At 43.0% G+C, this 17,653-nt stretch overlaps 1 protein-coding gene across 10 annotated transcripts in view, besides 2 other annotated features; it reads right to left on the reverse strand.

Annotated features, from left to right (window-relative positions):
- The window catches only part of ETS1 (ETS proto-oncogene 1, transcription factor), a 128,794-nt gene that overhangs the window by 39,225 nt on the left and 71,916 nt on the right, over nt 1–17,653 (reverse strand). The window contains exon 1 of one of the 10 annotated variants that reach the window (XM_047426526.1): nt 296–9,476. The exons of the other annotated variants lie outside the window; for them this stretch is intronic. The gene's annotated coding sequence lies outside the window, so the exon portion shown is untranslated. Of the gene's footprint in view, nt 1–295; nt 9,477–17,653 lie in introns of those variants that run through there. 10 annotated transcript variants of the gene reach the window in all.
- Nucleotides 5,565–5,859: an enhancer, noted in NCBI's record as "tiled region #9161; K562 Activating non-DNase unmatched - State 24:Quies". NCBI's record gives its function as "activates a minimal TATA promoter and a strong SV40 promoter by Sharpr-MPRA in K562 cells {active_cell/tissue: K562}" and the evidence as "EXISTENCE:reporter gene assay evidence [ECO:0000049][PMID:27701403]".
- Nucleotides 5,565–5,859: a silencer, noted in NCBI's record as "tiled region #9161; HepG2 Repressive non-DNase unmatched - State 23:Low". NCBI's record gives its function as "represses a minimal TATA promoter and a strong SV40 promoter by Sharpr-MPRA in HepG2 cells {active_cell/tissue: HepG2}" and the evidence as "EXISTENCE:reporter gene assay evidence [ECO:0000049][PMID:27701403]".

Genomic DNA, 17,653 nt, shown 5'->3' on the forward strand with positions numbered 1-17,653 from the left:
AAATACATGAATGAATGTGTCCTGCTGGAAAGGCTTTTAAATATGTGTTTTTCTCTAGCAGCCTGGCAAGTGAAGGTACATAAACCAGGTCTCAAAGCCCCTCAGATGAAGCTCGCTTTCATTCTCTAGGATGCTCTACCCACCATGCTGTGAGGATTAAGTGGACTATGTGTGACAATGCCAAAGCTTAAGACATAGTAGGTGCTCAACAAATCATTGGCTACTTGATTATACTGAAAAGCATCTTATAAAATATAAAGACTTAAAAAAAAAGATTTTATTTCCCAATGCTTACAGAAACATCAAGAAGGAATCTGGCAATTTCTCCAGGTACAAATAAGCGACTGAGAAAATAAGAAAAACAAACGCAAAAATCAGATTCTGAGATATAAATGGAAATTGACATCCCCTGAAACTGGCATTTTTTTCTAACAGAATAGACTAATTTCTTACCTATTCTGCATCCTCCAATCTGCTAACGGGAAATACTTTTTGCAGCAATAAGCATCTAAAATATGTTTGCCGTGACACTTCAGAACTACATGAATCCAATGCACCTAAGATGCCTTTTGGTTGCAAAAACGTCCTAAGAGTTCCACTTTAGAATCAATATGGCACAAAGCAAAAGTATAATTTTATGCTAAGAACTCTTTTCTATGTGTTTGGAATCTGCCAAAACCCAAGCTGCGTTTTAATTGTCATTTATGGGCCTCTAAATTAACGACACTCAAGCAATTTAAAAGGAAGTTTTAGCTATTGAGATTATGATTCCTGTGTGCAAGGACCACCTCCATAGGGTACATTAAAGAATCATTTAAGCTTCTTAAATGATCATTTCAAGCCATTTACAAAGTACTTCACATGTTTCAAAGCATTTCCTGCATAGATAATTACACCTGACTCCCACCACATGACATACTTTATAGTTCCTAAATGTCCCAGAACAGTGTGACTTCTTTATCTGAAAAACACAGAGCCATGGTCTCTACATTACTCAGGAGGAAAGAATGAGTTGGGCTCTTTCGTCTCCATGGCTTTGCAGAGAACCACATTGCATCCTATTGGTTCTTCCCACATCTTACACTTCTGAATGAGGAAAACTCCTGCCCTGCCTTCACTAAAATTCTCATGACAGGATCATACGGCTTTTGGTACCAACATGACATAGGATAACCCCATCCAGGAAGACAATGGAGAATATCTGACAACTACATCTTGCTATAATCCCAGCTTCCACTAATTCTGGTTTACATAATAGCCTTTGAGGCCTCATCCTCTGAGATCTTGCAGATGCTGATGAATTGGGCTAACCAATTTATTTTAATTTCACTTAACTCCCACCTATAATTATCATTCCTGCTATTTGACTAGAACTGTATCTTTTAGAAAGCATTTTCTTGAATATTCTCATATGATTTTTCAAAACAAGCACTTGTAGTTATTATCTTTATCATGTAGGTGAGGAAACTGAGGCTCACAAATGTTTCTTAAGTGACTTAACTAAGATTATCAAACCAGTAAAGTGATATAACAAGGATTCAATCCCACATCTTCAGACACGCAAGCCACGTGTTTTCTCCCTGCACCTATTCACAGAATTAAAAGCAAATGAGGCAAAAATGATGGGGCATGATAACATTTCTTTTTTCATTTTCTCCAACATTTTCATTCTAGAAAAAGCTCTTTCTGTAGCAGGGAAGAACCTCAATCCCCGAGACTCTCTACCGACAGCAGGCTCCATTGCACGTCCTACCCAGAACTGGCCTGGTCAAACCTCGGCTCGGGGCCCACTTGGCACTTGGTCGGGGGGTAAAACAGGCATCGGGAGAGTGGTGCTGAGAATCACCAAGAAGGCCAGGCTGGGCAAGGTGTACGATGAGGAGTTTTCTCCATGGGCAAATGAAAAATCTGGGCAAACAAATGGAGTAGAGCCCGTTTATTTAGGCTGGAAGAGGTAAAGTTTTTCTGCACTTTTGAACTGTTTTCTCAAGGCCTGCCTCTCCCTCCCACGCAGGAAACAAACACAGAGACAGGCCTCTTCCAGTGAGGGCTTCAGTTGTTCAAAGTTAGCCCGGGAAGGGCAGAAGGAAGAAAGGCTTAGAGAAAGGAAGGAGGAACGGGGGCTAGGAAGGTGGTGCAGTGGCCATGGGGGTAGCCGCCAAGGGAGAAGGCTGGAGCTGGGATCAGACAGAGGAGGAGAGCTGGCCAAGAAGGGAGGAGAGAGGGAAGAAAGCAGGAAGCAGAGAAAGGGAATATTGGAAAATTGTAAACCAGAACAAAGAAACAGAATGCAGAGTGGCAATGGCCTGGGAAGAGGCAACAACCGACTCCCAATTAATGATGTTCAGAAAGCAACATTTTTTCATCAATTTTGAAAGGAAATTCTCTCTCAACTTTCTTATTTATTTATACATTATATAAATACATTTTTAAACCAAAAAAGGACCGTTTTTCCAATGGGAAAAAGTCTTGTTTGAGATGAAAGCCAGTCTTCAAAAACTTCTTAGAGGAAGCTGAAACCCCACATGTCTCGGTGCTACAGAAAGAAAAACAAAGTGGACATTCTTCCTGCGTTCTAAGGCTTTTTTATGCAGATGTGTTTTTCTTTTAATAAATAAATCTGGACTGAGAAGGAAAAAGCATACTCATACACATTCACACAGTGCAACTGTCTGTTTTCAACCCAGGGAAACCACAATGAAAAATAAGAATACGCAAGTCCATTTTCCCAGTACATCAGACAAGGATTCTCAATATTGGCAGCCACAGGCACTGAAGCAACACAGTATGCGTGCACACCCTGCTCCAGCTTCCAGATCCACAGAGGAGTACTTGATGATGAGTGGTCATGAGGGGCAGGGCAGGACCTGAAGAACGACCACCATACTTCCCCAGAAGTCTTCTCACTTAAGACATTTGGTTGCCCCATCCTTTTTGAGCTACACAATTTCACTTATAAGCCAAAATGATTATTTAAAAATGATTAGACACAACGAGTTTAAATCTGCCTTCTTATGAATTCTATCAATAGGCCCTTGCTTTGCTTGTTGAGAGATCAGCAGCACAAAGCAAATTTGTCCTTATCTGGCAGCTTTTCCCCTGCTTTCTTCCTCCTATCATCACTTCCGTCCAGGTTTCCAAACTCCGTGGTTCCTTCAACCATTCATGTTGGCATGGTTTTTGGCCACTCCCCTCGCTCCACCTAGAAGCATTCCTCTAAGCCTATGTTCCTGAAGAGCATCACAAGCATTCATAGGTGAACATCGTGCTTCTCAGAAGTTAAATGGGAACAATGAGATGATCATCTTACTCCATAAGCTTTGACTGGTGCAGACTAAGACAACACTGATCTAACAGCCTAACTACAAAAGCCACTCAAAGGACATTGCCAGGACCTCTCCATAGAAAGTGATACTGAACCAGTTCTGTACCTATTGACTGAATTTTATTAACTTCACAACAGGGCTTCACATTTATCCATATTAACTTCACTTTGTTTCGATCCATGTTTCTAAGAACTTTTTTATACCTTGAATCTGTGCTCATCCTATTAGCCATCATTCTCAGCTTTGCACCATCTGCAATGCACTAAGTGTGCTTTCTGTGTCTTTCTCTATTCTAAGCCCCTAATAAAAATGTTGAAAAGGCAACCAGCAAGTACTGATCCCCATAACATAACATCAGAGACCATGCATTACTCTGACACTGACACATTAATCAAGACCCGTTGGGTATAGTTGCTCAACCAGTTACAAATCCTCCTGACTTTACTATCATTAGATCCACATATCTTTGTCTTGACCACAAATATATCATGGAAAGACTCAGACAAAAGCATTACTGGAATCAAAATATGAGGTTACAATATTCAGTTGGTCTCCCACTTGTGGAGCCAGTTCTCCCCTCGAGTTTCTAAGCATCTGGCAAGTGAAAGGTGGCTGATAGTACAAATGGTTGAGCTGGAATTCAGACCCCTGTACAGTGAAATAAAGAAAGACAGAGAAAGGGGGTGGGGTGGAGAGAGAGAGAGAGAGAGAAAGAGAGCTGCAGCCACAGCATTGCTTTGCTTCTAGAAACAATGGGCAGTTAGAGAACAATGGCTACAGACAAAGTCTTGGTCTATTTATATCTGCCACTGTTAGTCCCAGACAGGAGGAACTGGAAGTCTGCCCTGTATGCACAGCTCCAACTGGACCCAAGTTGGGAGGAAGATGAGGTCACCAAGAAGGCTGCCTGCTTAGAAATGGGCTTCTTTTTTCTTCGTATAGTTGCTTCTTAGCCTAGAGGTTCTCTTAAGCTTGCTTGCCTTCTGCTAAAATACAGCCACTGCTGAGAAGGGAGAGATGAGAAAAGTAACTGCTGCTCTGCCCAGCCCAAAGCAATTAAGGCCTCTCTGTACAGAGGTTGCAGGAAGGTGGGAACGCCAAGGAAAAAATAACCAATCGATGGAGGTCAACTCTATGGTTTCTGAAACAACAGTCTTATTAGGTCTGTTAATTATACATGTTTAGGAGCACTATAAAGGAGCTTTTCCCTGGGAAAGTTCCCTCCTCATTTCTTTGGAGACAAATAAAGAGGCCAAGAGCTGAAATTCACAGATATGTATGCATTACATCTCAGGGACAATCTCTTCTTCCCTTTATTTCAGCCCCTTTTTGATGGTATCTCTATTTTCTGGAATTTCATCTTTTGCTCTAACATGGCTTTGGAGAGATACTCAATTTTAATCCTTCCCAAACTGTGTTACTTGTATCCTTAATCCTCCTACAGCCTTACTAAAAAGAGCCACCAGTAGATTAGCCTGTGACAGACACCAAACTGAACATGAGGAGAGCCTGGGCTGGGGAGGAAGGAACAGGGAGGGAGGCACAGGCCGTGAGCCCCTGCAGGCATCTCCTCCTGCATGCCTTCATTGTGAGTTTCCACCGACAGCCCTTAGCATTAATGCGCAACCAACAGTAAGCAACTGCACCCTCTGGATCCAGTCCAACCTTATAGCCTTAAGAATCCCACGTGCAAAGCTGGAATCTCCCAGAGGCAAGAAATTCAGGGCTCAACAAAGAGATCCCCTGAGCAGTAACTTCAGATTTCCACTCATGCCTCAAGTTCCTGTCACTAACTTCCCACCTTGTTCCTGGAAAACCAACATGTAAGGAGATATACAAATCTAAATAAGATTTTTTTTCTCTTTTTCCTTTAAATAGCTTAAAATATTTTACAGACAACATCCCAGATAATGTCAACCCATTGGGAGGGAACTAGTAGCAAACAGTTAAATGTTTTATAACTTAAAATTTTAAGCACAGAGCAGGCACATGCTGGATACTGCTAGGGCCAACGAACCCTAGGAGCCAAGAAATGGTTAAAAGGGATGCATCACGTTCCTTCCCCAGCCCCACATGCTCTTCATCAACTTCATAAGTGTGTCAAGATGCTCAGGGTCCAGACCATCTGGAGGGTGCGCTCATAAACTTGAACTACCAGGACAACAGATAATGTGCACAAGCCCATAACAAGCAAACATACTAGTACATCTTTCATGCTATGCAAATGGTGGAGACTGAAATTCAGATGAAACATTGGACCACCTAAAATAGACCAAACTGTGAAGATCTAAGTGAGTGATCTATAGGTCACCTGACCTGGTACGGTACTTCATTCAAACACTGCTTCCTTGACTCCTCCCCTATCCCCTGCTCCCAACAGACTAATTATTCCCTTCTCTAAGGGCCCTGCTGAATCATCCCAGTGTAATTCACAAGAGCCACATGGGAACCACATGGTAGGAGTCAGGAGAAGGCAGAGAGACACACATTCTTACCCTAAAGCAAGGCTGACATCAGAGAAGATGCAGAAATCCCCACCCTGAGCATGTTGGTAAGCACATGAGATGGCCGTCCCTCTGCCTATCACAGGCTCCAAAAAATACCAGCACGCCAGCTAAACACACCAAAAACCGATGGTGCCGCCCCAACATGGCACATCTAATGGAATTCAGGCCCCACACAGTGCAGTAAATCTAAATATATGTCCCTAATGAGGAGTCAGAAATCCTGAGACTTCGGGGATTTAGGCAATAATTGTGGGGACCCAGCTCAAGTTTCCTGCACTAAAAAGGAGGGGCCTAGAGAGATAAGCTTTGAAGGGAGCATGCTTATGCTCCCTAAACCATTACGCTCACTGCTAAACCTATCATACGAGCCTACTCCAAGGTTTGTGTAGACCTACCTAATCTATAATTTTGGCCTCTATATCTCTTTGGCTTTGGCCTTTTTTATGGCCTGGAGCAATAACTATCAGCCCGAGTCCTCTCCTGGTGTGTTCACACATTTCCCTGCCTCTGTCCCTCTATCCCGCCCTCACTATAGCTATAGGATGCATAAAGCCTTATCCAGGACCAAAAAGCAGAAAAGAGGAATTTACAGAATTTGCTATAAAACTTTAACAACTCCTTGGAGGGATGTTCTCTTTCCTTGCAACCAGACATAGTTATAAAATGGATGAAAAGTGGAGAGAAGGAGGAGCCAAGCTCTGCCACTGGTCAGGGGTCTTACACTATTCCTGGAATACAGAATTAGAAGACGCTTTCGATGTCATCTAGTTCAAACCTTTTCTTTTACTGGTGGGTAAAATGAAGCTCAAGGTGACATCAACTTGCCTTAAGTCACTGGTTACTAATTCTAGAACTCTGGCTCCCTCTCAGGATTTTTTTTTCCTCTACATCATTGCTGTTTACTTACAACAGTGGACTGGGAGGGAGAGGCTTTCTCCTATATCTTCACTACTATCAAGTCCTGGTTCATCATTCTGGATAAACACTACTCCTCCCCAAGTTATTAAGAATCACAGAGGAATGAGCCATCCAAAGATCTAATAAATATGATGGGATTTTACAGATTCATGATGCTATCCACTCCTATTTCAGGTTATAAGTCTGGAATACCAATGGTCAGACTCTAAGGTGGAAAAGCTTCCTCCTAGCAAAGATCCTTGTTGCATACCAGGGATATTAAGCAACTTTCAACAGTCAACTCCGATAGCATGATACCATGGTGTCTGATGGCTCTGAAATTTGAGGGTGCTATTCCTGTCAATCCAGAAAGAGTGAAGACTGCAGTTAACTTCAGTGATCTATGAACCTTTATCTAAAAAGCACTGAAAGGCAGAGTGCCTCATATCATTTAAAGGTTTTACACCACTACCCTTCTAGTCCTGCTGGTATTCCAAATAGGGTCACTGAGCCATGGTGATAGGGTTGAGGGAATACAACAAACCCCACTGACAAAGCCAGAACTTAATATCAGGGGCACTGGCCAGTAAGTTGAATCTGATCTATCTAATTAATGAAGCTATCTGTTGACCCCCAGAAAGGCCATGGCCTGAAGTAACACAAGCAGCTCTAGTTGTGAAGGCAAATGCAGTCGGAATGCAGAGACCTAAGGGTTCCAGGAAAGATCCACCTCATTGTGATCTCTTCTAGACCCCACAGATTTTTTTCTTCTCCTTCCCAATGGGCTTCTCTTTAATGGCCCCAAACACCCAATCTTCAGCATTCTATTGTTCCTGCTGCTGCCCCAGAGTCTCGCCCACACGGACCCAGGGCAGACAGCCTCAGACGCCTCTCCCAGTAGCAAGCCCAAGAGGGTGGTAAGTCGCCAGGCAGACCCAATCTCCAGATCAATGGGCGAGACCAACCAATGGGTGGCGAGCAGACAAAAAGTGATCAATGCAAAAGGCGGAGGGAGCTTAAGCCACTCTCCATCTGCCTGGGTAGGTGAGAAAGGGAGAGACTGGGATGTGCAGCCCTCATCCGCTGCTAATAAATGGCTCTGCCTCATCAGGAAGCCATTAGGAAATTGCAGCCACCACAGCCCCAAGCTCCCCGGACTGAACTGTCTGCATGCAGCTGGTGAAAGCGCTCATTATCTCTGTCCAGACGACACTAGCTCACTACACAGTGGAGCCTAACCAATGAGCCCTCAGAATAAACCCTGGGCTTGAGTGGTGAGGAAGGAGGGACTGAAAAAGTCCCTTGAGATTGGGGAGATGCAGCGCTCCCCCAGGTGTGTGCTCCAAGCTCCAGATCAGGAATACGAGCCCTTCTCCTCACATCCCAGCTGGACAGCATTCTTTTTTTCAGAAAGAGCTACTGACTGCTCATGAGCATGGGGCTTCTTTTGGGAGTGATGAAAACATTCTGGAATTAGACGTTGATGATGATGGCACAACTCTGTGAATGTACTGGAATGCACTGACATGTACACTTTAAGATGGTAAATTTTATGTTATATCAATTATATCTCAATTTAAAAAAAAGTAAATGTTAGAGAGAGAAAGAGCTACTGGCCCACTGCTATGAGCCCAACAATGAATACCTTGGTGATAGATCCCTCAGGCAGAGTTTCCCTCTAGTGGGAGAAGCAAACACCGCCTAAGTACAGAAGCAATAGCTATATGCTCACAACAGACGATGAGTGCTGGGATCACGGCTGAAGCGGAAGGTTTTGCAATGCAGAGTGAGTGAACTAGCGGGGTCCAGAAGCACTAGGGGAGGGGGTAGGAAGGAGTGCACGTAAGATGTCCTGGGTGTAGGGCGTGAGGGACAGAAGGCGGGCAAGGTGTCCAGGATGGCGCCCCTGGCAGTTGGTGGCATTACTGAAAGGGAAGACGAGAGGATGAGATCTCCCACAGCCACCTCCGCCACCTGGAAATCCTTGTGAGATGGAAGCCCCGCGATGCTCACTGGGAGACCGACCGTGGGAGAGGCTGGGCACGGGCCATTTCCAGAGGCAGACACCTGGTAACTGCAATTTCTGGGACCACTTATGTGAGGACTAAAGAGGAAGGGCCACAGGTTCTAGGAGACGAACAAAATCCCTCAAGTTCCCTACCCTAAAGATGCTCCCAGAAAAGGCTGCCGAGTGCTCTTTTAAAGTGATATGTGCATCTTTATACTTACATACAAAAGATTCTCAAGGGGAAGAAGTCTCCATCAGACAGGGCTCTTTCGCCCTCCAGTCCCTGGTGGGGGAGACAGAGGAAAAGCTGATAGGGCGGTGGGGTGTGGGGGCGGTGAAGGCTCACTGCACAGGAACTGAGGAAGGTGCAGTCACAACACTGTGATGCCAGGGATCTTTTTGGGAAATTCTTTTCCAAAAGGGATCATGAATTTTGGCCCCTGGAATGCCCCAGAGCACCTCTGATTGGTTCCCTGGCCCTGACTCAGATCGAGCCGGGCTCCACCCTCCATGAGTAAATAAAGGCAGGGACGGAGGGAGGGAGAGGGAAGGAGAGGGAGCGGAGTGGGCAGACAGGAACCAGAAGGCCAGCGCTGGTTCAGGGAACACACCAGATGAGATTTCAGCGACGGGTGGTGTGGCAGAATTCAAGACATAATTCTCTGAGCCTTACACACCACTCCAGTTGGGATTCAGCCCTGCCTTGGCAGCCGGCTCAGTGCTGCTTTATAATATACTGAATTAGTCACTGGATTAGCAAGCACATTTACACACAGTGGCGCACAGCTGTTTAAAGACGCAGGATCCCCTTTTCTAGGTGCCAGATTCTGGCTATAAATCAACCATTGCAATCAGCAACCAGCAAACCCCAGAGGTGCATGGTTCCTGCAGACATCTTCCTTAGGGGAAGCCTGCTAGAACTGCGATGGCCATTTTCTGGGGACAGGAGGGACATCTGTGGCAAAGAAGGAAAGGTCGGTGGGCTTTTTCTGTCTTGAATCTTATTATCTTCAGGGGGCTGCCAGGTCTTCACTGACCTGGACCTTCCCGGCAGCAGCCTAGCTCAGGAAATGACGCCTGGGAGAACAGGAGTTCTAATCCTGCCTGGCTGTATTATCAAGTACAGAGTTTTTCTCCTAAACCTTGAATGGCTGGGTCACCTCCCAGAAAAGAAAAGACTCCAGGGCAAAGAGGACAGTACTTCAGCAATTAAAATAATTTTAAATCCTGATAACATCAATTCCAAAAAACTGCCTTGTTGAAGTGGCAAGGGCAATGTCTAAAAATAATGCTTTAGAGTTGGAATCATAACTCAAGCCCTAACTCACGTTCGGTAAGAATGCGTGAGAGGCATTTGAAAATAATTGAACTGGCCACAGGGACGGCTCTGGCCCACTTGGTTATGGAGGTGTCAAGTGGAAAATTTTCTGTAACCAGGTTAATAGTAACCACAGTTTTAACAACCGCTGAAGTAATAACAGCGACAGCAGCAATGAACTTTTGTACAGAATTTAGTGACCTACAAGATAATGGTTTATTGAGCTCCTGTGGCAATGAAAAAGTATAAAAGTTTTCACAGGAATTATCTCTAATCCTAACAGCCCTGAAAGCTCTTTATTATTACCTCCTTTGTAAGGATCAGAAAAGAAAGGTTTACAGAAGTTAAATAATTTGTCTAAGGAAAAATTAGTAAAGATCAAGCCTGAATTCAAACCCAGGGCTGTCTTACCTCAAAACTCTGCTCTTTCAAGACATGGTGCTGCCTCCAGTGAGGAATATCATTATAACCAACATAATGAAAGGGACGCTGTGTGATTCAGGGACTCAATTACTTACTATCAAGCACCCTAAATGTAAATCCCTCTCCTTTGTCTTAGAGGGCTTAGGTACCCAAAGAGAAATAGGGTTTATCTAAACTCTGTATCGTAAGATCATGGTAAAAAGCCTGTGGCATAAATAAATCCACCTGACAAATATAAGAACCAAGAACCAATTACTAAATAAGGCGAATTTCATTTAGGCTCCTCTAGAACAGGAATTTAGAGAAGATTCGTAAAGAGATTTGTGACTAGCTCGTGTAGGCAGAGCCTAGTGTGTATTCTGCACCAGCTTTTGGAAATTCAAGTATTACTTCCTTAGAACTTGTTTGCCCATAAAAACACTGAAAATATTTTCTTACGAACCAAGGCAGTCGGGGGCAACTGAAGACTTGCATCATCTTTGCTCATCACTCTCTGCCTGCACCATGCCACTAGGCAGATATTTTGATCAAAGCCAGGAGAAACCAGCGGCAAGTCACCCAGGGCCCAATCTCATTAAAAAAACTAAATCGCTGTTCGGTTCACCCAGCACCCCAGATCCTTTGGAGACTTTGCAGTCAGCCTGAAATTTCAAAGTTCTTTCATCAGATCATCCATTACAGAAGAGGATGGGTGGAAGGCATGGAAAAGCCACAAAGCTCCCTGCAAGAGAGACCTTCAGAAATCCAGAAATAGATTCTTTATTTTTAAAAATCTCCAATTGAATCAGAGGTTAACATTATGTCCACCGTGGAGATGCTGATTCATTCTGTGTGTGTGTTTACTTTTCTACAAATGTCCCTCTTGCATCAAGTAGCTTCAAGCCCTAGGCTTGTGCCTCTGAACATCCCCTCCCTGGAGAACTCTCAAGCTGGGGTGGAGCTCTCACTTCATTCCTCAATTGTCTAATCTGGAGAGTGGGGGCCAAAGCACCAATTCTGTACACAAGTTTAGTAAATTTGGCTAGCCACCTTTCATGTGTCTACTTTGGATTTGAAAATGCACCATGGAAATCAGGTGAAAATTTTTTTTTTTTTTTTTTTTTTTTTTACTTTCCCACTACTAACACATCCCAATGGTAGATATGTATAAGTGAAATGAGTGCGTTCTTCCTGCCCCTATAATGACAAGCCTGACAGAGAACACATCACACAGAAGAATGTGCCAAGAATCAAGACCTCTTAGAAGAATGTTAGAAAGTTTTCTCTCCAAATGGATTCTGTCTAAGTAGGAAGGCCTTGGCAACTAGAAAGGTCTAAGATCAAATTTATGACTTGAAAACTCTATGGCTTTGGGCAAATTATCTGAACTTAATTCTGGACTCAATTTCTTATCTACAAAATGGGAATTAAGGCATCAACCTCAAAGGGTTGTTTAAAGAATGTGATTATGTATTTCTGTAAAGCACATTGCAAAGTATCTGACACATAGTAGGTACTCTCTGTAAATATTAGCTTCACTTCTCTCACTCCTCCAACTGAACTGCAGTTATGTAAAGAAAAGCAAGCATCCAGCAGTTTTGAAGAATGTTTGGTTTCCATTAGGAGGCAAGGGAGGTGTAAGATTGAACTCTTGATCTTATATGAAATAAGGATGCATTTCCTGTACACATACACATGACTCACCCTTGGGGAGCTCATATGTATTTAGCATCCCCACTCCGTATCATATCTCCCACTAATTTAATAACACTCCTTGAATCACCAAAGACTCCAGAGTACTTTCTAAATGTGAACTCATTAACTTTCCCACTCTCTCTCAAAGAAAGGCAGCTCACTCACTAGGAGCATCCTTCTTGGAGAAGAATACAAAGATAATGCAGACATGTGTCCATATCTGGTGGCTTAAGGTAAAGCCAGACTTGGGTATCCTGATTCTCACATCAGGCAACAGAAGGTAATAAGATGACCACCTATGCCACCCTGCCCAGTTAACAGCAGAGAAAATATTCAAACCGGGCAAAGCTAAGACCAAGGACCCCTTAGGCCTGACCCAAAACTATTGGTACATGGAGGGCACCAAGCCATAGTGCTGAACCCCAATTGGAGGAGGAGACACACTTCGTGACCTCACTAGGATTTGCTTTACAAGATAAGATTTTCCTGGCAAGCATTGAAGTTAGTGCCCAGATTCAAAACAGCAAACTTAAAACTATTATCTTCATGCTTGCTATAATCAGGTGTACCGCCCAACTTCCCATCCCTACCTCCCCTTCCCTAGTAATCCAGAGGTACTCAAGGTCACTACTGGCTACTTAAGGTTTACATCCACTCCCAAGGAAACACCAGCAACCAAAAGAATACTTCCCAGATGGAAAACCCGTCATTTGACCTTGGAATGCTCTGCCTCCCATAATGACCAAAATAAGGTCCGGCCAGAGGGGCTTACGTTTTTTGGTAAGGAACAACACATTGTTTTAGAGAGATAATCTGACATAACTCTGCTAAGCTCTGAGTGTCTATGCATGGTACCACAGCAAACACCCTATGTCCCAAATGGAAACTAGCAGGGTGAAAAAATTGTTCATCTAAGATGACATTAATCTCTGTATGCCTCCTTGGTACAGTTCTTTTCCACAACATGCAGCTTAAGATTCAACAATTTTTTCATTGTGTTTTGTGTTTCCTGAAGCATTCCTCCAGCTACCTGAAGCTCTCACTGATTAAAATAGACCTCCTTTACTAAAAGGGGTAAACTGAGGCACAGAAGAACAAAGCAATGTGCCTTATAGTTCAGAATAGGTAAACAAAAATTGGACATCTATTATTTTCAAATCTCTTTAGATTAAAAGAAAAAAAAATGTATTTCTCAAAGTCCAAAGTCAACCTTCTCCAAAGGGAAACTGCATGTCTGTCTAGTAACCTATAGGATCATTCACACTTTTTTTTCCTTGAGAAGGAACTAACTTGCCAGCCTACCAACAATTTTGCCAGTGCCTTGGCATCAGGCATATCTGCACAACCTTTCCAGAGCCTATATCATAGTGATCTGTTCAAGCTGCTCAAAGCTCAGTAATCATACTAATCTGTGCATAGTGACCAGTGCTACCTGCTCAAAGCTCAGTAATCAGCCAGCTATGTGGGACTTGTTATAGATGCATAAAATATGTGGGTGAAATCTACCTCCACCAAAAGAGAAAAGAATGCCTTGTTGACACTTTGATCTCAAGCTAACGTTTATTAATAACATCATTATTATATTTAAGTGAATGTACTAGATACTCATCGAATCAAAGAAATGTTTAAAATCCATGTGGCTGAACTCAAATGTCAGGGGATTTGGAGAAACTGACTGGAGCTTCATGTTCTAACTCTCCGCTTATTTGCCCTGGAACCTTGGGAGGGTAACTTGGCATCGGTGCACTGCACTTTCCTTATTTGTAAAATATTGGTAACTCTAAGGATTACCATGAGCTCAAATGTGGTGAAGTCACATGGCAAACTGTAAAATGCTACCAGATATAGCCAAGTATTAAGATGAACTAGCAAACAATATGCACAAACGGACCTTAGTATTTCCCCCAAATTCCACAAACACCCAAATATTTCTGAGAATTCTGAAAACAACAGACATGGAATTTTCAAGTTAGCTACAGCTGGGTTTGAATCTGAACTCCTCCACTCAGCAGCTTTGCAACCTTGGGCAAGTCGTTTAATCTCAGTTTCTTCATCTATGAAATGGCAATAATAATGCTTCACTATTGGGGCGAAATAATGAGGATACTGGCACAAAGTTTGCGCCCAATAACTATCAGAAAATAAACAGAACATGAGGAAAAAAGAAAAGATGGATGGAGATGAGAAGTGCTTACACAAGCACCAGTAGATAAACTCTACACTGTCATCAATGATCGTTTTCCTTGTTTTTCCCCCAAAAACTGGCATGCTGAACTTAGGTCCCTGCTTTGGAAAGAGAAGGGTAACTGCGACAGACCTTTCTCAAAATGCAGAAATAACATCAATCAGATGAGACTTCAGATAACCCCCATGTGCGGGCACCGCTCTTCCACCGCCGCCACAGCCCAGTACATTTGTAGCTTCCGGGGTGGCTGGGGAAGCCAAGGCAGGTGGTTTCTTGTCCGGCTCCAACTCTGCTAAGCAGCGTGTGTCCAGTGAAGGATCAGCCGGTGGCCACCTAGACACCATTCTGTGGGCACCCAAAGCACGCAGGCCTGGCCTTTCCCTCTGTGCAAACAGCAGGCCAGGGCCCTGACTTACTGGGCCTGTCAGGAAGAGGCACTGCCGTGGCTAACAGCAGATTGCATTCTCAAGGCAGGAGGGACTGTTTCTGACCAGAGCAGCCTATCAAGAAGAGGCAGATTGGATGAAATAAGCTCATCACTCAGCCCACAGACTCGGCCTGCGGAAGCAGCTGGACTAGCTGCTTCACCTACTGAATGCTTGACTTACATCTCCCTCCTCCAGGTGAGAACCTGCACTGGAGCTGCCTTCCGCTGCAACTGCAGCAACGGCTCATGGAAAAGGGAAGCTGAAAGGAAGACCATGAGGAAGGTATGACTCTTGGTTCAGTGCTACCCAAGACAACATGCCTCCATTTCCCCAATGGTGAGCTAGGCTGGCAACAATTTCTAACATCTCTGTTTCTCTGTGGAAGTAGCCCTTTACCAAAGCACCCAAAATTCCTCAATGATTAAGTTGTTATTAACAGAATTTGGGGATTAGGATGCAAATCCCCATGTTGCCTACCTCTTGAATGGCAGTCTACACTCTCTCCAAGCCTTGGCTGTTTTAAATGTTACCTAAAGTCATAAGATGTCACTGTTAGGAGAAATCTGACAGGTCGTCATTCCAATGAATTTATTTGACTGATGAAGAAAATGAGGTGCATAAAAATGCAATGACTTGCCTAAGGTCACACAGACAGATACTGATGCAGAGCTGTGGCTGGAGACCAACACTCCCGACTCTCCAGCCCACATTCTCCTCACAGAGTGGATGCTGTTTATTTCATACACAATATTTATTCCTACTGGTAAGGAACAAATACGGTAAGGTCTTCCTTATCATCTGTGATTCTTCATTGCATTCTGTGCATTTATTTCGTGTCTTAATGATGTGAGACAACTGATGCATAAGGTATGGAATTAACTTAAATTTTTGGCAAAAGATATCAAATAGGAGAAATGTGTAGGTACTAGAAGTACAAAAGTCGGTTACATGGAAACTCTTTCACTGAAAATTTCCTGTGATAAATTTCTTAAAGGGTATTTCAAAATCAGACTTGGGCAGGGGCAGTGGCTCATGCCCGTAATCCCAACATTTTAGGAGGCCAAGGTGGAAAGATTGTTTGAAGCCAAGAGTTTAAGACCAGCCTGGGCAACATAGCGAGACCTCATTTCTACAAAAAAGAAAAAGAAAATCAGACTCAACAACACATTTTTATTCTGAACATGAATGATACTAATGCATCACACAACTCTAAACGCATCACACAACTCTAATTGCACACAAAAAAAGTAATTAATTGAGAACAGGTATAACACCTGGCACATAGTGGGAGACCCTAGATACTTCAAAAAACCCGTATCTACAAACACTCACCAGGCTTAGCAGATTCCTGTGCCTGACCGAGGTTATTTTCCATTTGTACCTTGAAAATATGTACCTGATTGATTTTGTCATCTTCTCTGAGGTTTAACGCTTATTCTGATAAACTGATACAGAGGTTTTAACAACAGTATGAGTAGGAGGAAAAGTAACCAAAAAAAAAAAGTTACCTATCTCATAAGCTTACTCAATAACTCTGCTCTACCCTTAAATATTCCTACTTTCAAAGGCAAAATTCATCCTGAGGTTCAAAACGCTCTTTGGGTCCTGGCCTCCTACTTCCTTCCTTCATCCCTTTCTACAAGTAAGTTTTTTTTCCTTCATGTTTATCTAAGCATCTCTTTCATTCCAAACTTGCAGCATTCTTCCCACGCTGCTCTCTATATGGAAAATAATCCTTTCCCTGTTCTTACACCTCCTTCAAATGCTTCAGAAGTGCCCCTGTTTCCCATGAAGCTGACCTATGAAACTAACTTAACACTGTTGCAAGAGAGAGCTTCACAGACACAGAAAATACCAACAGTCATTGATCCACACATATTTTCATAAATGTAAACACTGGTCCTCCTGCATTTTTTGCCATGGAAGCACCTGGAACCCAGGGAAGACTTCATCTGAGTTGTCCTGACCACCCATCTACCCATGAGGGATTTAAAGTATTCAGAAATGACCACAGGCAAGGAGTAGAAACAACAGACCCAAAACTGCCCATGGGGCCACCTGAGCCTGGAATTCCTAACCAGGTGTAATGCTTGGCCCAGATGAAAGCTTTTCCAAGAATCTATGTAATATCACTTAAATTCGTTCATCTTTAGTTTTACAATTTCCTTTCATTCATTCTTTCATACTTTCTTACTCTTCCTGTCCTCATTCTTATTCTTGTCTTTTTTTAATTCAAAAAGAATTTTGCAATTGAATCCACCATTCCTTTCCTCCCCTTCTAAAGAATTGAGGGCTTGTTTTTTATTTTTGCTTTTGTTTTTGCCCACTTTAATGGTACAAAAAGAAAACACAACATTTTTTTTGCCCCTTTTCAGCCCAAAGTAAAATTTCTTATCTTCGATAAACATTTAAACAAAACAAAACAAAAATTGCAATTGTCTTCACTTGTGTAATGAAGACACGTCCCTCTACTTCAAAGTTCATTTTATCTCTCTGTCACACACACACACACACACACGCGCGCGTGCACACTACATGCAGAGTTTACAGTTTCTCCACAGAACCTTGCAAAGCAAAAATAAATGGCTTATCACAGCTACCCAAAGCTACCAAGAGGTTTCAAATGCTTGAAGTGAACTTGTCTGAGGTTGATTTGGGTTTCTCAGACACTGAGAAACAAATTTAAAATATAATCCATGTTTGGGGGAAAACCATACTAAACTTAAAGGGCTTCAAACTCTTAATCGTGCCTTATTAGCTTACTTAGATGGTCTAAACCCTGAAATTGGCAATTGAGAGAAGATATTCTAGAAAGTACGATTGACCAAATTTAGTGTCTAACTCGGGTGGCCCTCATCTGTGGGGAGAGCCCCAGTTAATGTCTGTC

This window comes from Homo sapiens, chromosome 11 (assembly GCF_000001405.40).
Source record: "Homo sapiens chromosome 11, GRCh38.p14 Primary Assembly".
Lineage (NCBI taxonomy): Eukaryota > Metazoa > Chordata > Mammalia > Primates > Hominidae > Homo > Homo sapiens.